Source organism: Homo sapiens, chromosome 1, assembly GCF_000001405.40.
Source record: "Homo sapiens chromosome 1, GRCh38.p14 Primary Assembly".
NCBI lineage: Eukaryota > Metazoa > Chordata > Mammalia > Primates > Hominidae > Homo > Homo sapiens.
In genome coordinates this window covers 165,717,162-165,740,059 of record NC_000001.11, presented here as the reverse complement: position 1 = coordinate 165,740,059, position 22,898 = coordinate 165,717,162, and the positions used below count along the sequence as shown (strand labels likewise).

General features: G+C 39.0%; 1 protein-coding gene across 4 annotated transcripts in view, besides 1 other annotated feature; it reads left to right on the top strand.

The window, feature by feature from the left end:
- Positions 1-15,769, top strand: part of TMCO1 (transmembrane and coiled-coil domains 1) — a 44,632-nt gene extending 28,863 nt beyond the window's left edge. For 3 of the 4 annotated variants that reach the window (NR_045818.1, NM_001256164.1, NM_001256165.1), the window contains exon 7: positions 11,939-15,769. Coding sequence is in view for 3 of the 4 variants with exons in the window: in NM_001256164.1 (NP_001243093.1) it covers positions 11,939-12,037 (99 nt within the window). In the remaining variant the exon portion in view is untranslated. The remainder of the gene's footprint in view (positions 1-11,938) is intronic. The other variant, NM_019026.6, reaches the window with a different exon arrangement.
- Positions 21,902-21,951: an enhancer, noted in NCBI's record as "active region_2021". NCBI's record gives its function as "activates an Ori minimal core promoter by ATAC-STARR-seq in GM12878 lymphoblastoid cells {active_cell/tissue: GM12878}" and the evidence as "EXISTENCE:reporter gene assay evidence [ECO:0000049][PMID:35858748]".

Genomic DNA, 22,898 nt, shown 5'->3' with positions numbered 1-22,898 from the left:
GCTCACTGCAACCTCCGCCTCCCTGGTTCAAGTGATTCTCCTGCCTCAGCCTCCCAAGAAGCTGGGATTATAGGCACCCACCACCATGCCTGGCTAACCCTTTATATTTTTAGTAGAGACAGGGTTTCGCCATGTTGGCCAGGCTGGTCTCGAATTCCTGACCTCAGGTGATCCACCCACCTGGGCCTCCCAAATTTCTGGGATTACAGGCGTGAGCCACTGTGCCCGGCCCCATTCTGTTTTAATTTCAGGCAGATTTTGTTACTTTACTTGTGATGGATCAATAGTAATCTTAGATGCACCAAAAAGTCACCATCTAAAACTGTAGAGTTTTCAAAATGAAATAAATGTTGTTAAGAATTATCATTTAGAGCCAGGCACAGTGGCTCACACCTGTAATCCCAGCACTTTGGGAGGCCAAGGCGAGCAGGTAGCTTGAGCCCAGGAGTTCAAGACCAGCCTGGGAAACATGGTGAGACCCCATCTCTACAAAAAATGCAAAAATTTAACTGGGTATAGTGGTGCATGCCTCTACTCCCAGCTACTTGGGAGTCTGAGGTGGGAAGATTGCTTGAGCCCGGGAGGTGGAGGTTGCAGTGAGCCGAGATTGCATCACTGCACTCCAGCCTGGGCAACAGAGCCAGACCCTGTCTCAAAAAAAAATTATTTAGGAAGTTCAACTCAAGCTGGTCTTTACACTCCTTTTAATTATTTCTAAAAATGTGATGAGTTGTGTGTCAGTTATTTTATCAGGAATGCAAAGCTCATTTTCAGTGCGGATCGGCAAACTGTTTCTGTAAAGGTCTAGATAGCAAATATTTTAGGCTTTGTGGAGAACTGAAGTGTACGGTATATGCTATTAAGTTAAAATAAGAAAATCTGCAGATCCTAGACTGGTACAGCCTACTGAAACATGCTTGCTGAATACAAAAAAGAGGGGGAGGTGGGCAGCAAAAAACACAAAAAATTTTCATATGTTTGTTTTCAGTTAAGGAGGATATATACTAACACTTTTTATTTCCACTTGTCCAGGTGTATGCAAATTCAGTGTCTAGTGAGGGCCTGTTTCCTGCCTGGTTCATAGAGAGTGCCTTCTCTCTGCATGACACGCATGAGAAAAAAAGTCTATAAGGACTATAGTATTGCATAGCTAATGTAAAACTGTTGTATTTGAAGGATCTGTTCTTTTGGTATATAGTTGTCTTCCCCAAGATCCCAGCTGAATTCTAACTACTTATTGCAGCATCCTCAGTGATAGTCATCTTGCAGATAATTTTATTACTTAAATTCTAAAAACAAAAATAGTCTGAAATACTTAAAGCTTGGAAAAATCACAGAAGTCACCTACCTTTATACTTTTTGTTTTATTAATTATAAATTGTTTCTCTACCTATTACTCACTGTTAGCTTATGCACAAGAGAATTATGAACATATTAATATATCCAGTCTGAAATGCCTTAACAGCATTTGAAGTGTTATCATGGAATATATGCTTCTTCCTTTGAACTAAAATCCTTATTAGCCTGCTATTTCCACATGTTTTATTTGCTTTTTAAGATCTTAGGTTACATGTTGTTGTTTTATTTGCTTTTTAAGATCTTAGGTTACATAAGAATTGACTCTATGGTTGCCTGCGAAATGAATAGTCAGAATATGAGGATTTCAGAAACTCAAATTGTAGACTGTACCGTGATTTTCCCATGAATGCCATTGGCAAAGAAATAGGCCTGGTTTTTCGGTTGTTTTGTTGTTGTTTGTTTGTTTTGGAGACAGAGTCTCGTTCTGTTGCTCCGGCTAGAGTGCAGTGACGCAATCACAGCTCACTGCAACCTTCACCTCCCAGGTTCAAGCAATTCTCCCATCTCAGTTTCCTGAGTAGCTGGGATTACAGGTGCATGCCACCACACCCAGCTAATTTTTGTATTTTTAGTAGAGACAGGGTTTCACCATGTCGGCCAGGCTTGTCTCAAACTCCTGGCCTTAAGTGATCTGCCTGCTGTGGCCTCCCAAAGTGCTGAACGCCTGGCAGCTTTCCAATCTTAAGTGTTCTTGGCATAGGAAACATGGAGGCATGAACGTTTGTAATGGATATAGGGACTACTGAATCTAGAGCTGTTGGTGGGCTGTAACAGGAAGTGAAGCTTGTCACTGAGAAGGATTGCCTGAATCTTCACCTCATGGTATAGCATTAAGGAATTTCATTTTTCTTTCTTGTGCTTCTTATAGTGCAAGTCTGCTGGTGACAAATTCTCTTAATCTTCATTTATCTGAAAATATCTTTATTTTATCTTCATTCTTGAAGGATATTTTCATTGGACATAGAATTCTGGTTTGGCTTTTTTGTTCGTTTTAACCTTTAAGCATTTTAAATGCCTTTCCACTGTTTTCTGGCCTCCATTGTTTCTGAAAAGTTCTTCATGTCTTTGTGTCCTCGTAAGTAATGTCACTTTTCTCTAGCTACTTTCAGATTTTCTCTTTGAGATTGGTTCTCAGAAATTTGACTGTGATGTGCCTAGAGTATTTTTATTTAAAGTTTTTCCTGCTAGGACTTATGGTTTTCATTAAATGTAGGGAAATTTCAATCATTATTTCTTTAACTGTTTTCTGCCTCATTCTCTCTCTCTTCTTCTTCTGGAACACCAGTTGCTTATATATTAGTCATTTTGGGTATTGTCCAACAGGACACTGAAGCTATGTTGAATTTTTTTAAATCTTTTTTTTTTTCTGTTCTTCAGATGGGATAATTTCTGTTGATCTGTCTTCAAGTTCACAGACTCCTCTAATCTGTGTTAACCCTAAGCCTACCCAATGATTTTTGAATTTTAGGTAATATTTTTCAGTTTCAGAATTTTTGCTTTATTTGGCATCCTTCCTGAGATTTCTTGTTTGTTAATATATTATGAGCCATATTTTATGTCCATAATTATTTAGCTGCTTTAAAAACCTTGTCTGCTGGGCTGGTGTGGTGGCTCATGCCTGTTCAGCATTTAGGAAGCTGAGGCAGGAGTTCAAGACCAAGAGCCCAAGAGTTCAAGACCAGCCTGGATAACAGAGCAAAATCTCATCTCTACAAAAAATACAAAAATTAGCTGGGCACAGTGGCATGTACCTGTAATCCCAGCTGCTGGGTTATGGGGACTTAAGTGGGAGGATTGCTTTAGCCCTGGAGATCGGGTTTGTGGTAAGCTGTGATCGCGCCTTTGCATTCATGCCTGGGCGGCAGAGCAAGACTCTGTCTCAAAAACAAAACAAAAAAACCTTGTGTGCTAATTCCAACATTTGGAATTTGGACTCCATTCCCTGTTCTCTTTTTTTTGTTTTTTGTTTTTTTTTTTTTTGAGATGGAGTCTTGCTCTTATTGCCCAAGCTGTAGTGCAGTGGCATGATCTCGGTTCACTGCAACCTCCATCTCCCAGTTCAAGTGATTCTCCTGTCTCAGCCTCCTGAGTAGCTGAGATTACAGGCACCCGCTACCATGCCCGGCTAATTTTGTATTTTTAGGAGAGAGCGGGTTTCACCATGTTGGTCAGGCTGGCTAGTCTCAAACACCTGACCTCGGGTGATCCACCTGCCTCGGCCTCCCAAAGTGTTGGGATTACAGGCGTGAGCCCCCGCGCCCGGCCTGTTCTCTTAAGTAACAGTATATTTTCCAGTTTCTTGATATATCTAGTAATTTTGGATCATATCCTGGATAATGTAAACGATAGGTTGAAGATATTCTGGATTCTTTTATTCTTTGGAAGAAGTGTTGATATTTTTGTATAGGCAGGCAGTTAACCTGGCATTTGTCTTAGTCCATTAGGGCTACTATAACAAAATACCATATACAATAGAAATTTATTTCTTACTCTTCTAGAGGCTGAGAAGTCCAAAATCAAGGCAAATTCGGTGTCTGGTGAGGTCCTGTTTCCTGCCTGGTTCATAGAGAGTGCCTTCTGTCTGCATCCTCACATGGTGGAAGGCACAGGGCAGCTCTTCGGGACCTTTTTTTTGAAAGGACAATCCCATTAAAGAGGGCAGAGCCCTCATAACCTAATCACCTCCAAAAGTTCCCACCTTCTAACACCTTGGTAGTTTGGATTCAACATATGAATTTGTAAGGGAAACAAACATTCAGACCATAGCAGCACTCAAACTCCAAACTCTCCTTTGTGGTAGATGGCAGCTGAAGTCTCAGGTCAGTTATTTTAGTCTTAACTGGGCTGCTTATTGGCTGCCTTGTACATAGTTTAAGAATTAAGCAGACCCAGGCGTGGTGGCTCATGCCTGTAATCCCAGCATTTTGGGAGGCCAGGGCGGGTAGATCACTTGAGGTCAGGAGTTCCAGACCAACCTTGCCAACATGTTGAAACCCCGTCTCTACTAAAAATACAAAAATTAGCCAGGCATGGTGGTGCATGTCTGTAATCCCAGATACTCAGGAGGCTGAGGCATGAGAATCGCTTGAACCTGGGAGGCAGAGGTTGCAGTGAGCTGAGACTGCGCCACCGCATTCCAGCCTGGGTGACAGGGCAAGATTCTGTCTCCAAAAAAAAAAAAAAAAAAAATTAAGCAGAGATTTGGGGGCAGAGTTTATATGCAAAATTTGAGGCTCCTTTTTTGTTGTCTCTCTGTTTTCCAGGATTCTTTCTCTATTTCCAGTAGCTGTGGTTTTCCAGTAGCTTTTTGATTCTTCAAACCAGTAAGATTATAGTTTATTCTGAGTTTTAGACACTCTTCACAGTGCCAACTGGGGTTATGCCCTCCATTATGAGATTTTCAAAAAATAAAACATTTTGTCTTTCTGCACTAAGCTAAAATTCAGAATATTCTCCTTGACTGATCCTCAAAGAAGGAGCTAAAAGAGATCTAGGGACATTTTCATTGGAAAGATACGGGAGAAAGAGGAAAGGAAGGAGGAAGTGAGAGGGAGAGAAAGAGATTGTCACTTAATCTCCTGACCGCAGCAGAAAAGACCTTTATTACAAAGAGGGCCTTTGATCAACCTAAGACAGAAAATATTCATTCATCATTACAAAGGAAGTGACATTACTCTAGTGCAGATTTGATGTGCTTATCTTTCAGAATTTTTATTTCCACTTTATAAGATATGTGTTAAGAAGGTCCCAGAAGGGAGCTTCCGTTTTCTACCCTATTTTATTTGTTTTCTGTATTGGGCTTTTATACATCACATTTTATTTTTCAAAAGGCTTCTGTTAATCTCTGTGAATTGTGTGCAAAAAAACAAAACAAAACAAAACAAAACAAAAAACGATGGGCCGAGCGCGGTGGCTCACACCTGTAATCCTAGCACTTTGGGAGGCCAAGGCAGGTGGATCACGAGGTCAGAAGTTCAAGACCAGCCTGGCCAAGATGGTGAAACCCTGTCTCTACTAAAAATACAAAATTAGCCGGGCATGGTGGCAGGCGCCTGTAATCCCAGCTACTTGGGAGGCTAAGGAAGAGAATTGCTTGAACTCAGGAGGTGGTGGAGGTTGCAGTGAGCTGAGATCACACCACTGCACTCCAGCCTGGACGACAGAGTAAGACTCCGTCTCAAAAAATAAAAATAAAAAAGAATAGAAATTTATTTTAAAAATTAAAAAATAAAAGAGTTATTAAAGGCTTTAAGGGTCTGAAAATGATTGATCTAGTCAACCCTCTTTTTTCTAACAGTAAGGACATTGAGATTTGGTAAAATGAAAAGATACTCCTATTGTTTTATTGTCTAGTTTGTCAGCACTGTAACCCAAGTTTTCTGATTGCTAACCCAATAATATTTCAGCGATATCAAGCTTGTACGATAAGGTTTTTTTAGTAAATATTTAATCTCTACATTATTTTTCCCAAATAGTCTAGTCAGATATAATGTGAGAGCCCTGGTAATATTGGAAAGGGTCGTTTTGAAGTGATTAGATTTTATATACAGCTTTGTTGATAGAGTAAAGATTACATTGTGGGAATTAATGAGATATTGCGATTAATTGGAAGTGAAGACTGGTTGCCAGATGTCAGAGAAACTAACAGAGTGAACTGAGGATTGCCATAGGTGTGTTATTTTAGCTAAATGACTAAGGAATAAAATTCAGCAGAATGTGTTTATTGCCATTGACCTGGGTCTTCCCAAAATATCCAGTTAGCAACCAACAACTTCCGTTTCTTGATCACTGGTTCTTAATCATGGTAAAGAGGAAAGAACACAAATCCTGTGTTTGTATTTTTCAGGTTTTCCTGCCAGTAGAAGACACAATTATGGGAAAATGTTTTTCCTTTGTTTTTCTCTTCTGGGTATACATTCTTCATTTGTTACCCTGTTATACAGGACTGGACAGGAATTCAAAATAATTGTTTTACATTTTTCCAAAACTTGATTGCATCTTACTATATTTTGCATTTCTATTTTCTTTCATAGCATCTTTATTATATATTAAAACTCCTATCTTTTAGCTAAATGCATATTTCTTTCTTTTTTTTTGTTTTTTTTGAGATGGAGTCTTGCTCTGTCACCCAGGTTGGAGTGCAGCTGCACGATCTCCTACAACCTCTGCCTCCCGGGTTTCAAATGATTCTCCTGCCTCAGCCTCCCAAGTAGCTAGGATTACAGGCGCATGTGGAGACGGGTTTCACCATGTTGGCCAGGCTGGTCTCAAACTCCTGATCTCAGATGATCCACCCACCTCGGCCTCCCAAGGTGCTGGGATTACAGGTGTGAGCCACCACTCCTGGCCTAAATGCATATTTCTAAACTAAATCTTGCTAATTAACAAGGCCTGAAAACTTGACCTCAAGAAGAAAGAAAAATTGAGAGATTATAGGAAAGCAGTCAGGTTAAGTTTAATGGATGAGATTGTTGAAAGATGTAATGAGATAATATATACAAAAGTGCCTGCTGTACAGTGTGGTATTCAGTGAGTATTTATTGAATTACAGCCTGACCATTGGTATCTTATTTTTCTTATCTACATGCAAGGATAATGATGTCCACCTCATTAAGTTGTGAGGATTTAAATGAGGACATACATATAAAGGTCTTAGAACAATGCCTTGCAGAGTGTAAGTACTCAGTAACTGTTAACCATTATTATTGTTGTTATTCTTTTTTTTAGCTTCATACTATGACCTTCACTTTAAAATAGCACCCACAGGAATATTTTTCTTTATTTTAAAAGTATTCCATTTAGCAGTATTTCAAAAAGTTGGGGAAGGCAAGATATGAGAAAAAGTATACAACTATTATTAATACAACTGTTATCTTACTATATATTCTTAAATACTTTATATTCCCTTTTATAGACCTTATTTTTTAGAACAGTTTTAGGTTCACAGCAAAATTGAGTGGAAGGTACAGAGATTTCATATATATGCCTTGCCCCCACATATGCATAGCACACCCCTCTATCAACTTTCTCCACCAGAGTGGTACATTTGTTACAATTGATTAATCTACACTGACATATAATTATTACCCCCAAATCCATAGTTTATGTTAGGGTCCATTCTTTGCATTGTACATTCTATGGGTTTTTTGCATAGCAACTATATTTTATATGTGTATGTTTATATATATATATATAGAGAGAGAGAGAGAGAGAGAGAGAGAGAAACCATTTGCTCATTTAACAGCATAATTGTGATTTTTTAAAAAAATAGGCCTGTTACACGATTTTTTATTCCTTTTTTTTTTTTTTTTTGCTTCTTTATGTGATTTTTTTATTCCTAAGATAACAGTCTGTTACAGAGAGGTGGCTTAATAAAGGAAAACTGCACTTTGAGTTATATCAGTTCACTTTCTGACTTGTAACCTCTCCCTACATCAACTTTCTCATCTCAACAGCAGGGATAACTAAGGACTACTATCTAGTCCTTAGAACTGTTTGCAAACTTTAAAGTGTGTAGAAATGTAGGATGTTACTACTGTAGAGATATTAGTGACGTCTGGTCCTTTTACCTGTGGCTCTTGCATCTTGAGACCATCACTTAGTTCCTACATGGGTTTTAGGGGAAAAGATTTCACTGATGGAAAAGCAGGGGAAATCTGTCTGAGAAAAATGGAAGACCTAGGTTTCACCTGTGAGACTATAGGAATTTAAACAGATTAGTTTAGAATTTCACGAAAGGATAAAATTGCATGCAGTAAATGCAGAATGTTTGTGTTAAAATACAAATACCTGTGTAATGTAACACCGATACATTTAATTTAGTGTTCCCAAAACGGGTCTGTGGCAAGAGCCACAAGGAAAGGAAAGTATAGAGTAAAGGAAAGTATAGAGTTGCCTGGATTTCCATGTACTTTGGCTGTGGCTACTGAAGTGTCTCATTTTTAACACTTTTTTGTTGCTGCTATTGCTATTTGAGATATTCCCGTCTAGAGCAGTGGCTTACCCTCAGTAGTCATTTAAATATTTTGAGTTAGTAAATGAAATTCAACAGACTACCAGTTCAGTTTCTTGTTTCTTCAAAATATTATTTTTTATTTTTTCAATCATCTTCTTTAAATCACGGTAAACCTATAAAGGGCATCCAACATTTTTACATTGGTTTTTAATCTCTAAAATGATAAGGACTCATCTATTTGACCCTTCAGAATAACTGAGCAAGAATCCCTTGTGTATTTTGTCTAGGCTATATTACTGTATTTGTTAACTAGACAAATATGTTTATCAGCAGCTAATTCTGTATGTCTTACTGTTTCAAATTTTATCTTTAAAGCAATTTCCCTTAATGCCTAGCTTAGTGCTAAATACATTGTAGGTGCTCAGGAAATATTAATTAAATAAAGAAATTGCAAACTAGTGACATCATTTGGTCTTTTTACTGCTTTGTGTAATGGGTTTTTTAGAGGTGAGCTTTAAGGAGCTATTTTTATTATAAAAGTAATGCAGGCCAGGTACGGTGGCTCATGCCTGTAATTCCAGCACTTTGGGAGGCTGAGACAGGCGGATCACGAAGTCAAGAGATCGAGACCATCCTGGCCAACATGGTGATACCCCGTCTCTACTAAAAATACAAAAAATTAGCTGGGCATGATGATGTGCCCCTGTATTCCCTGCTACTCGGGAGGTTGAGGCAGGAGGATCGCTTGAACCTGGGAGGCGGAGGTTGCAGTGAGCCAAGATCGCACCACTGCACTCCAGCCTGGCGACAGAGCGAGACTCTGTCTCAAAAAAAAAAAAAGTATTGCAAAGTAGGCCGGGCATAGTGGCTCACCCCTATAATGCCAGCACCTGGGAGGCTGAGGTGAGCAGATCACTGGAGCCCAAGAGTTTGAGACCAGCGTGGCCAACATGGCAAAACCCCAACTCTATTAAAAATGCAAAAATTAGCTGGGCATGGTGGCATGCCTGTTAGTCCCAGCTCCTCGGGAGGCTGAGGTGGGAAGAATGCTTGAGCCCGGGAAGTGGAGGTTGCAGTGAGCTGTGATCACACCACTGCACTCCAGCCTCAGTGACAGAGCAAGACCACGTCTCAGAAAAAGAAATACAAAGTCTGATCATTCTCCATCTTTACTAAGGAGAGGTATCCTAATGTACTAACGATTGATTTTTTTCTTCACTCATTTCAGATGTCTTCTTAAAGAATGAGCTATAGTATTGTTGAATGTATGTACTGAAATATTTTATGGTAAATATAATTTAGATGAGTCCTTAAAGTTATGTCCTCCATATTTAAACATTCTGTTGTATTCTAACAGTGTTACCTCAATACACATTCTTTTTTTTTTTTTGTTTTGTTTTGTTTTTGTTTTGAGACGGAGTCTCGCCGTCGCCCAGGCTGGAGTGCAGTGGCGCGATCTCGGCTCACTGCAGGCTCCGCCCCCTGGGGTTCGTGCCATTCTCCTGCCTCAGCCTCCTGAGTAGCTGGGACTACAGGCGCCCGCCACCTCTCCCGGCTAATTTTTTTTTTTTTGTGTGTGTGTATTTTTAGTACAGACGGGGTTTCACCGTGTTAGCCAGGATGATCTCGATCTCCTGACCTCGTGATCCGCCCGCCTCGGCCTCCCAAAGTGCTGGGATTACAGGCGTGAGCCACCGCGCCCGGCCGTCCTCAATACACATTCTTATCCATAGTAGTCATCATTCTTCATGATGAAGGATTGAGGGTGTGTATGCTTGTAGAGAAGCCTGGTTATGGATATTCTCACAGTATCTTATATCTAGTAGGTACTCAGTAACTACTGGATGAATAGTTTAATGCATGCAAACCTGCCTACCACAGAATGGAGTTTGTTCTGAAGAGCAGAACTTTAACACAGAAACTACTGTGTAAGAGAATCCATTAGATTAAGGGTCGAAACACAACAGGTTTAAATTCTAACTGTGCTCTTAATTTAGCTTTGTAATTCTGGATAAGCCATCCATCATACCTTTCTGAGTTTTAGTTTCTTCAAATATAAAATGAAGGAACTGGGCAAGAATAATCAGGATCTCTAAGGTTTTTTTCCTCTTATAAAATGCTACATTGGCTGGGCGCAGTGGCTCATGCCTGTAATCCCAGCACTTTGGGAGGCTGAGGCAGGCGGATCACCTGAGGTCAGGAGTTCAAGACCAGCCTGGCCAACATGGTGAAACCCCTTCTCTACTAAAAAAAATACAAAAATTAGCTGGGTGTGATAGCAGGCACCTGTAATCTCAGCTACTTAGGAGGCTGAGGCAGGCAGAATCGCTTGACCCAGGAGGCAGAGGTTACTGTGAGCCGACATCGTGCCACTGTACTCTAGCTTGGATGACAGAGTGAGACTCCATCTCAAAAAAAAAAAAAAAGAATTATGAGAACAAAGTATGTTTTTAAAAACTGAATAAAAGTATAAAAGTGAGTTTCTTAAAAAATTGCATTAGATGTAGGTGAAACAATGGAAAAAGATGACAGGGTCCTGAAAATTTAGGAGAATTCTGAACTCAGAGTGCTTTGCAGGTTTCTGAGTACTTTCAACACTGTAAAGAAATTGAAACTGGTTTTTTTTTTTTTTTTTTTTTTTTAGACAGAATCTCACTCTGTTGCCCAGGCTGGAATGCAGTGGTGCAGTCTTGGCTCACGCAGCCTCTGCCTCCTAGGTTCAAGGGACTCTCATGCCTCACCCTCCCGAGTAGCTAGGACTACAGGTGTATGCCACAATGCCCAGCTAATTTTTGTATTTTTCTACTAAAAAGTAGAGATGGGGTTTTACCATGTTGTCCAAGCTCGTCTTGAACTCCTAGCCTCAAGTGATCTACCCACCTCAGCCTCCCAAAGTGCTGGGATTACAGGCGTGAGCCACCACACCCGGCCGAAACTGAAAATTATAGACAGTGCAGTAATGACAAATCCAGCCAGCAGACCCGTACTCAAAGAAAATGCCCATAAGAAATAGCTAATGAATATTCTTCATATGCTTCTTGTTAAAAAAATTATCTCCTTTTATGATTCTCTACTCGAAAAAAATCAACCACTTTCATTAGTAGACCAAGGTCTCATCAGGTAAGGAAGGCTTTTACTGTTCTATGATTTTCATTACATTGTAGGCCTTTTTAAAAAATAACATAGTGATTGCCAGGTGCGGTGACTCCCTCCTGTAATCCCAGCACTTTGGGAGGCCGAGGTGGGCAGATCATGAGGTCAGGAGATCGAGACCATCCTGGCTAACATGATGAAACCCTGTCTCTACTAAATATACAGAAAATTAGCCGGGTGTGGTGGCGGGCACCTGTAGTCCCAGCTACTCGGGAGGCTGAGGCAGGAGAATGACGTGAACCTGGGAGGCAGAGCTTGCAGTGAGCCAAGATTGCTCCACTGCACTCCAGCCTGGGTGACAGAGCGAGACTCCATCTCAAAAAAAAAAAAAAGTGATAATCATCCTATTGCAGGTCATAATGGTTCCTTTAATCTATATGAGTATGAGTTCCCTTTGCCTGAGAGCTACATAAAACACATCTTCTGTATATTTGATATTAAAACCCAATCCTTACTGTGCTTTCTTCACAGAACATTCAGAAGATTCTCGGCCTTGCCCCTTCACGAGCCGCCACCAAGCAGGCAGGTGGATTTCTTGGCCCACCACCTCCTTCTGGGAAGTTCTCTTGAACTCAAGAACTCTTTATTTTCTATCATTCTTTCTAGACACACACACATCAGACTGGCAACTGTTTTGTAGCAAGAGCCATAGGTAGCCTTACTACTTGGGCCTCTTTCTAGTTTTGAATTATTTCTAAGCCTTTTGGGTATGATTAGAGTGAAAATGGCAGCCAGCAAACTTGATAGTGCTTTTGGTCCTAGATGATTTTTATCAAATAAGTGGATTGATTAGTTAAGTTCAGGTAATGTTTATGTAATGAAAAACAAATAGCATCCTTCTTGTTTCATTTACATAAGTATTTTCTGTGGGACCGACTCTCAAGGCACTGTGTATGCCCTGCAAGTTGGCTGTCTATGAGCATTTAGAGATTTAGAAGAAAAATTTAGTTTGTTTAACCCTTGTAACTGTTTGTTTTGTTGTTGTTTTTTTTTCAAGCCAAATACATGACATAAGATCAATAAAGAGGCCAAATTTTTAGCTGTTTTATGTACAAGGAGAGATCTGTTTCATTTTGTTTTGCCGTATTTCTAGATATAAGTTTTAGCATGGGCCAGGAAGGACTAAAATAAAAGTTTTTAAGGTACTGTACTTTTTGCCATACTTGACTCATATACTCAAAATACAGAGTTGTCTTGGTGTAGGAATTGGAAAGCAAGAGTGGAAAGGAACGTAATAACTCGTTGGAGTTTAAAAATGAGGGTCTTGGCAAGTAACACTGATGTCTGAAAAAAAATTAAATATAAATAAATAAATAAAAATGAGGGTCCTCAGCTGTTCTCTTCATATCCTATTACAGTCTCTCAGATTCTTGTGGGGGCACTCTTAGATCTCCCTTGGAGACAAGGTTATAGTTATATGTTGTTAATCTCGCAGAGCTTCCTTTTAGTCACAATAGCCTTCATTTTCTGCCATGCCCCTTCATAAGGGAGAAGGATGTTTGTACCATGATCCTCCCCGCATAATCTATGGAATTAGGAGTCCTGTGTGGAGTCTTATCAATAAATATGCACATTCATCAAATGTCTACTTAAATGTGAGTATTCTACCAGTGAGAAAAAACACATAATTTTCAAGGTAATCATTGTTAAACCAACAGCAAACTTCTTTCTTATCAGCACCATAAAGTCCAGAAGACAGTAGAAAAGTATCTTCAAAGTGCTGAGGAAAATAAGTATCAACTTAGAATTTTATGTACAATATTGGAGGCAAAATAAAGACATGTTTAGACATACAAAACTAAGAGAGTTGAATTATTAAAGGTTATATTCCAAGGACAAAAAAGAGGATCTGCCCAAGGTGAAGGTATGGCATACAAGAAACAATGGTCAACAGAGAAATAAAATATATGGATGAATATATGGATAAATTTGAGTGTTTTATGGATTATCTAATTTAAGGATTATCCCAAGACAGCCCTACAAGGTAATTACTGTTCTTACCTTCATTTAACAGATGAGGAAACTGGGGCAGGGGAGGTTAGTAACTTGCTCTGCATCACAGAGCTATTGAGTGGCAGTCAGGATTTGAATTCAACCAGTGTAAAGCCTAATAGTCCAGGCTGTCAAGCTCTATATTACAGCCTCCTCATGGGTATGTGGTGATTCTCTTCTCATCCCATCTCCTCAACTAGAGTGTGTGAGCTCTCTAAAGTTGGACTTTGTCTTTTTTTTTGTTCTCCTTATTACAAAGTAGTCAACGTGGGTGGAAACACAGCAGGAGCTCAATAAAAGCAGATGAAAGGGAACAGAAGTCCCTATTCTGAGACTAGTTTTATCAGAAGGATGTCTGATAATGGATGGTAATGACTTTTAATGGTCTTTTCTCCATATCATTGACCACTCTAAGCAAAATAATAATTCGAATGATAATGAAGAAAATGATGCCCATGATAACAATAATGACAAATATGAAATGGCTAAAATAAAACATGAAACCATCCTCAAAATTCTGCCATCACCTTTTTAAAGTGAGAATATATAGCACACTCTATCACTCATACCCTGAGGCTTTGAAGTTGGTGCTTTCTAATCAGACTTCTTATGGACCAGGTTTTCATATACAAATTATGTTTCCATGGTAAGGAATAAATAAGAGGGAGAAGTTAAAAAGGAGAGATTACATCTATTCACCCTATTCATTAAAATTTTTTTAAATTTTTTTCCAAATATGTTCTGCTTATGTATATTCACTCTATTCTTAAAAGCACAATAACAAAGATATATTACAGAGGAAATAAAACTATCACAAGAATTAAATTCAAGGAGTTATTAAGGGCTACTGCAGCCTCACAATTAGTTTTTTAAAATTTCTTGTCCTGAAGAAATTTCAAGACTAGTTATTTGGATGACACTCTAGGTCCACAGCATCACCAGATCATTGGAGATGACATTTCAAGACAGGCCTCTGAACATCTCTCATAACACATAATTTGGTTATTTTCCCTATGTAAGATGGATTGTCTCCTGTCTAGGGAAGAAAAACAGCCATTACTAATATCTGCATTAGTCTACTCAGGTTGCAATCATAATATGCTAAAGTAGTAAACTTTTAAAAATGACAGTAAACCTGAGTTTATTAACAGGTTACATTCTAAAAGCTAAGCTAGTTTGGAAATTGGAAAGCAAATGTGTGTAGATATTCATATGTCCTTGACCAGACTGGGCCTTTCTCTTCCCAGGTAAGTCATTCTCTCCAATGGGGCCAGTTACTTAAAATTACATCAGACAATTGATAGAGCTTCTAGATCCCCCTTCTAAAACAAAAGCATTTTGCCACAAACTAGGATGGAGTAGGTTTTTTTCAGACTATTTATACTTATTTTATGTATTTCAATACTGCCCTTTAAGTAAAAGTACTATATACTTTCTCTTTTTTTAGATTAATTCTGCTTAAGTCAGTCTTTTAATTTATTCTAGTTTGAGTTTTTAAAAAATTTTAGAATGAAAAATCTCAAAAATATACTATTATGTATATACACTATTTTATATATATATATATATATATATAGAGAGAGAGAGAGAGAGAGAGAGAGAGAGAGAGAGAGAAAGAGAGAATAAAGAACACCTAGGTAACCCATCCTCCACCTTCGACAATTATCAGCTCCTAGCTAATTTGTGTCATCTGTAACCCCACCTGCTTCTGCCCTTTCTGTATTATTTTGAAGCAAATCTTATCATTTATCTGTAAATATTTCAGGACTTTAAAAAATATGTGTAATCTGAATACCATTTTTACACCTAAGAAAATGGACAATTCCTTAATATAATGTGTTGTCTATAGATGTCAAAAATTTTTGCAGTTTTTTGGAATCAGGAACCAAGTAAGGTACTGAATATTGCAGTTAGCTGATACACATCCTAAATTTCTTCAATTGTTGTGGTCCTCAAACTAGAGTGTATCAGAATCACTAGAGCCTTGTTAGAACACAAACTGCTGGGCCCCACCCCAGAGCTGGTGATCTGTAAGTCTGCTGTGGAGTCTGGGAATTTGCATCTCTAACAAATTCCCAGGTGATGCTGAAGCTGCAGGTTTGGGGTTCACTCACCTATTGGTTCATCAGCATCTCTCTGCCCTCTTACAATATATTTGTTGAAGAAGTTGTGTTGTTTACCTTGTAGAGTTTTTCTTAGTTTGGATTTTGGTGATAGCATGCTGGTTTTTTCATACTATTGGTTGTCTCTGTAATGCGAGCAGCTTTTGATCTATTAATTAATGAGATATTAAAAGTGATGGTATTCTAATTGTAGTATTCCTTCATTTATGATCTAAAATACCTCTAAATAGGAACTTCCTCTCATCTACTTTTTGGGGGAAGTTAAGAATAAATGCCTAACTCCTTGGTCTTCAAAATAATGAGCTGTTTATTAACATCCTCCAATAGTGAATAATTAATGTGTATGTCATTAGCAATTCATGCATTTAAACATATTTGATGTACTTCAGTCCACTGAAGCTATTTCTCTTATGAATGCTCAAATTGTCCCATTTTTGGCCAGCGAGAGCCTCTTTCATTTGGCTCCTGAGTCTATTTGCATGACCCTCGTTGTCATTGGTAGCATCCTTGCTAAGTGATATAACAAGATGTTCTAAGGCTCATCTTGTGTATTTCCTGCATGACTTGAAAACAACAATTTCTCCAAAGAGGCTTGTTTCATCTTTACTGGAAAATGGCATTTGGAGATTGTGATCAGAGCACTAGGAATGGTGAGACTGGGTTTTTAGGTTTCTAGGCCTTTCTGTGGACTAACATTGGTATTATTTGTTGTTGTTTTAATACAAAATACAACATGAAGTTATACTGATACTCAGGGCTACAGAATTTTTACTTAATTTCTTTGGTCTGTGTCTCGTTTATCAAACCATACTAAGAATTCCAATTTGCAGCAGCCGGCTGATATAATTAGAATATTACATAATTATTCATTAGTACAAGCTAAGAATATACACTCAGAAGTCTCAGATATTAACATAAACATTACCAACAATATAGTTAATGAAAATAGTTCAAGTTTTGTTTTTTGTGGAGTAAAGGACAGGGAGGATTGTGTAAGGTATATCACACTATGAGTTCACAGTCCAAATACTGAGATTTCAAGTTATCTGGAATTATTTCTTTAAGGTTATTGCCAACAGAATACAATTTACATTTGTTTGATTTTGTTTCCAACTTTAGAGATTTCTCTTTAATTTTACTTTATATAGTGTTTTGAGGGGTTTGCACAAAAAAGCATATTTAAGCTACATAGAGATGGGTACCCATTATCACACTTCTCTTATGGGTTTAAGCCCACTCATAAGCCCCATAATGTGTGAAAAGATGGGCAGGTAAAATTCTTACCAGAAACAATTTAATTTTTACCTAATAGTGGGGCTGGCAGGGACACTCTCTGCAGTGACATTGCCCCCTTAACACTTCACACTTGTTGACTAAAGGGAGGAGACCTATTGTGAAGAGAATACCATGTGGGGATGTCACCAACACTGACTCAGATCCTTATCACTGTCCCCTTAATTTTTCTGCAATAGCCTACCAGGTAGTTTCCTTTATTCTAGTTTCCCTGACTCCAGTTCACCCTCCATCTTGCTGTGGGATGATTTTTTTTTTTTTTTTTTTTTTGAGATGGAGTCTTACCCTGTCGCCCAGGCTGGAGTGCAGTGTGGCATTATCTCGACTCACTGCAACCTCCGCCTCCCAGGTTCAAGTGATTCTCCTGCCTCAGCCTCCCGAGTAGCTGGGATTACAGGCATGCACCACCACGCCTGGCTAATTTTTGTATTTTAGTACATACAGGGTTTCACCATGTTGGCCAGGCTGGTCTCAAACTCCTGACCACAGGTGATCCACCTGCCTCGGCCTTCCAAATTGCTGGGATTACAGGCGTGAGCCACTGCGCCCGGCCTGGCAATGATCTTCGTAAAATATAATATAAATCTGAAGCCGGGCACAGTGGCTCACGCCTGTAATCCCAGCACTTTGGGAGGCTGAGGCAGGTGGATCACTGGAGGTCAGGGGTTCAAGACAAGCCTGGCCAACATAGTGAAACCCCATCTCTACCAAAAATACAAAAAATAAGCTCGGCGTGGTGGCACATGCCTGTGATCCCAGCTACTAGAGAGGCTGAGGCAGGAGAATCACCTGAACCCGGGCAGCAGAGGTTGCAGTGAGCCGAAATCATGCCATTGCACTCCAGCCTGGGCAACAAGAGCGAAACTCCATCTCAAAAATAAAAAAAAAATAATAATAAATCTGATTGTGTTGCTCCTCAAAGGAAAGTTGTTCAATGGCTCCCAGTAGCTTTTAAGTAAATTTAAACTAGTTAGCACACAAAACCATCCCAACCTGGATCTCCAGCCTTTTCTTATCTCTATATCCCACCATATCTTTTTTTTTTTTTTTTTTTTTTGAGACAGAGTCTTGCTCTGTCGCTCAGGCTGGAGTACAGTGGCGTGATTTCGGCTCACTGCAACCTCCGCCTCCTTGGTTCAAGTGATTCTCCTGCCTCAGCCTCCCGAGTAGCTGAGACTACAGGTGCCCACCACCACGCGCAGCTAATTTTTGTATTTTTAGTAGAGACGGGGTTTCATCATGATGGCCAGGATGGTCTCGATCTCCTGACCTCATGATCTGCCTGCCTCAGCCTCCCAAAGTTCTGGGATTACAGGTGTAAGCCACCACGCCCACCTACCCCACTATATCTTGTCCTCTAGCTAAGCAGATTTCTTAAACAAATTCTGCATTTTTCATGTTCTTTTTTATTTTTATTAAGCTAGAGATGAGGTCTCACTATGTTGCCCAGGTTGGTCTTGAACTCCTGGGCTGAAGTGATCCTCCCACCTCAGCCTCCCAAAGTGCTAGGATTACAGGCATGAGCTACAGTGCTCAGCCTTTCATGTTCTTTTTGGACTTTACTACCTTTGTTTTCTCGGCCTAGAATGTTCTTTGTCTTATTTGCCTGATTTTTCTTCTCTTACTTTTCCTACTTAGCATCACCTTTTACATGGTTGAGTTAGATTTCTCTTTCCTGTATTTCTGTTAGAGCCTTTCTTATATGAGTCATTCATTTAAAAATGGACAATTAACTTTCTAAGCTTCAATAGCCTCGTCTGGAAAATGGAGTTAATAACTCAGTCAAAGCTCCCTTATCTGATTTCCACTTACCTGAGTCTTCAGATGGATCCTCCCAGTTCCCTGTGAAAAGCTTGATGACCAGCATCCACATCACGCTGAATGCTCTCAACCATGCTTGTGCACAACTCTTGCCAGTCAATTGTGTAACATAATTTATCTTACTTGTTATTGTAATTAAATGCATGGACTAAATATGTTAAATTATGAAATATGAATACAAAAGAAGGATTACTTCTGTGAAAATTAAACTGAATGACTTGGAATAACAATAAAAAAAGTTGCTAAAAATAATTGCTGTTGGTGAAATAACAAAGACTAAAAAAGTAACAAAAAATTTAGAAAGATTCAGCATTATTTCTTAGTGTTTTAATTCATGCTCCACTTTAAAGAAACCAAAACTGGAAATCAGAGGTGATGGGTTTGGTTTATGCAGAAAAAAAAACGGTATTGCAATCAGTAGACTCATACTCAAGGAAAAGGCCTTGGCCCTACATAAAAAGTGAACAAGTATATATTTGTATGTTTTAAGTTAAACATGTCTAAAGTATGTATATATGTATTTTTTCATAACTGTAATTAAATTTTTAGATTAACCTATAAATTACTGGTTCTAGTCATATCAGATAAATAGGTTTTTACCTCATAGTGTTCTTGATGGATTCTGTAAAGCAATTGATACTATGCCTGGCATATTAAAGGCATTTGTTTTTCAAACACAGGAATCCTATGAGGGAGATAGGGTATCTTTTTATTATTTCCATTTTACAGGTGACAAATCATGATTTATCCAAGATCCTACACGAGTAAGTAACAGAACCAGGAAGAACCCAGATCCTTAGTTTTCAGGGTCCACGCTCTTTCTACTGCAGCACCCAGTAGGGCTGTCTCCATTGGGGCTACAATATAAAACTGCTTAACTTGAATCCCATCTGGACCTGTTACCCTACATGCAAAAGATCTTCAAAATGTCTTTACATAAGACAAGTTGGGGTCTTCAGAGTATCATTTAGATGATTATCACTGTCTCTATTCCATTTTTTTACAAAGCTTTCCCACATTACTCTCATTGTCTAAATAGTATATTTTAACAAGACTTTTTGAATATTAGAAGAAATTTAAAAATTATTCCACCATCACCAGATGAGTGAGGAAGAGGATAAACCTAAGTCTACTTAAGCCTACTAAGAGATGATATTTCAAGTTTCAAATGGCCTTCTGCAGTTGGAGGCTAAGCACATTTTAAAACCCAGAAACTTATATTTGGCTCCAGAATTCATCTGGCTGCTCAGGAATCCTTCAATATAATTTTTTTTCTTTCCTTTTTTTTTTTTTTTTTTTGAGACGGAGTCTTGCTCTGTCACCCAGGCTGGAGTGCAGTGGCGCGATCTCGGCTCACTGCAAGCTCCGCCTCCTAGGTTCATGCCATTCTCCTGCCTCAGCCTCCTGAGTAGCTGGGACTACAGGCGCCTGCCACAAAACCCGGCTAATTTTTTGTATTTTTAGTAGAGACAGGGTTTCACCGTGTTAGCCAGGATGGTCTTGATCTCCTGACCTCGTGATCCGCCTGCTTTGGCCTCCCAATGTGCTGAGATTACAGGCGTTAGCCACCGCGCCCAGCCAATATAATTTTTGTTAATACAAAAGTGATTTTGGGGTTTATAGCTATTTCAGCCATTTGCTGAACAGTCAATTGGATCTTAAACAGAGGTCATACATATCAAGAAAGTAGAAAAAGTCTGAAAGCTTGATCTGGTGACAGATTTTTCCATTCTAGAGAACATTTTACATTTTTAATCAAACTGGGGCAATACTTTAGTGCAGTGGTCTTCAAACTTTTTTGACCACAACCCCACAGTAAGAAACACATTTTTATTATTGCATCCCAGTTATAGAAGTCCCATGAAACAATACCTCTTTTATGCACTTTGGTATTTTATTTCATTCTTCGAAAAATGTGGTCATAATCCATTAATTTTACCACTGACTAATGGGTTGCATCAGGCAGCAAGCCATTGGAAAAAAATAAATAAAGTTCTCTCTGGAACTTGAAGAATAAGGAAATTTGAGTGAAGTCAAGTTTGGAACACTAAAGACCACTTTAAATTAGATGTGGTGGACTTATCTAAGATTTTGACTATATTATAGCAATGAATAACTCGGTGAAAATAATCAAGAACAACCAATTTTCCAGAAAGACATTAGCCAAGAGTGTGACTTCTTTTCTCAGATATACTTTCTGGAGGATCAGAAAGGGCAAGAACCTGACATTTGTATCATGCTATAATTGCATACATTCGTTCACCCATTTACCAAGCACATTTAAAGCACGACCTCTGTGCAAGACCCTGTGCTACGGGCATTGTGGACACAAAGGTGAGTTGAGTAGAAATCTGCTCAGAAATCTTACAACTGGTAGCTACTGTAAGCGTCAGTTTCCTTGTCTAAAAAAAGAGGACAATAATTCCTGCAATGGCCTGCATACTCATAAAATTGTTACAAAAATGAAATGAGAATAATATATGTAAAGTTCCTTTGTAAATTATAAGGGAACATTACTAAAAGCAGTTGAATAGTGAAGTGTTCAAAAAATTTAGATTCATATTGTTTCTATATACACTAAGAAATCATTTGACAATTTGTTTTTCTCTTTTCCCCTGTAATCATTAATTTATAATGACTCTAGATTGGAGTTAGATTATTTTTCTTAAGATTATTTTCATTTGTCTGAAAGCTTTAACTTTATCAAGTAAAATCTTGCTGATTAAGCACTAGACTTGTGGATGAACACATTTCATTTTCCTCTAGTCTTGGCTGTGCTTCATGTTCACTGGATAATTTAAGGTGATCCCACTGGATAATTTAAGGTGATCCTGGCACTTCAGCCTGGGTGACAGAGCAAAACTCTGTCTCAAAAAGAAAAAAAAAAACTGTGGGGTGGGGGGGAATGACTTTTGGATAATATAAAAATACTAAATAATATGCACAATGATTTAGAGAGGCCATTCGAGATAGAAGTGGGCTGCCCAAAAGGGTGATTAAGCCCTTAGTTCCTTTGGCTTGTTGGCTTCTCTTAGTCCATGTTTTGCTTTTTGCTGCCACCTGGTTCAGGGATAGTTCTTTCTATCACTACCAAGTACTCAGCCTGAAGTTGTGGGGCACGAAAAAAAGCAAGTTGGTGATAACGATTTCAAAAAGGCAATTTAAATATGTTTACCTCATTCTTGAAGTTCCTTCTTTGTTGTTGAATGGGTTTGCTTTTTCTAGTTTTCCTTCATCTTTTCTGCAACTCAACTCACTGCTTATATGTGCATGCCACCTAGTGACAAAAATTGGCCCTGCCTGCTTTTTAGGGAGATGAAGTGTTTTGTATCCACTGTTTAGGGGAAGGGAGACAGGTAGAGTAGATTACACACTGAGGAAACTTTAGAATGGGTCCCCTGGGCTAAGTGCGGTAGCTCACACCTATAATCCTAGAACTTTGGGAGGCTGAGGTGGGCAGATTGCTTGAGCCCAGGAGTTTGAGACCAGCCTGGGCAATATGGTGAAACCCCGTCTCTATAAAAAAATACAACAATTAGCCGGGTATGGTGGTAGGTGCCTATAGTTCCACCTACTCAGGAGGCTGAGGTGGGAGGATCACCTGAGCCCAGGGAGGTCGAGGCTGCAGTGAGCCAAGACCACGCCACTACACTCCAGCCTGGTAGACAGAATGAGAACCTGTCTCAAAAATAAATAAATAAGAATGGGTCCTCTAATGGGGCCAACGAGAGGCTCCCTGTGGTTGAACATGAAGACATAGACCTGGTAAATGCACAGCAAGTATTATTACATTTTTTTATTCCTGGACTCTCCTGCCACTCCTCAAGCTTCTCAATAAACTTCCATGTAAAAACAAAACAACAAAAAACAATAAAAGGCTTTGTTTCCCCCTCGACAAGGTGAGAAATCTTAAAAATAGGAGAGAAAGAGAGCAGGTAGATCTGGGAGGGTCTCTCTGGCATGCCTTTTGACCCCCTTGTCCCTCTTCTCCTGGGACCATTGTCTTTCTTATCGCATGTCTCCAGTCTGCCGAGGCCTTCCTCCATCCTGGCTCACCTTTGCTCTGTATTTAATTTTCAATGTGTCCTCTGCAGCCCCTGTTCTTTGCTGAGACTTTGCTAGATTCTCAATTTTATCATAGAATACTCCTACCACTTGAACTAAAAACCTAACTTTCTTATGAGGGAAATGTCAATGTAATT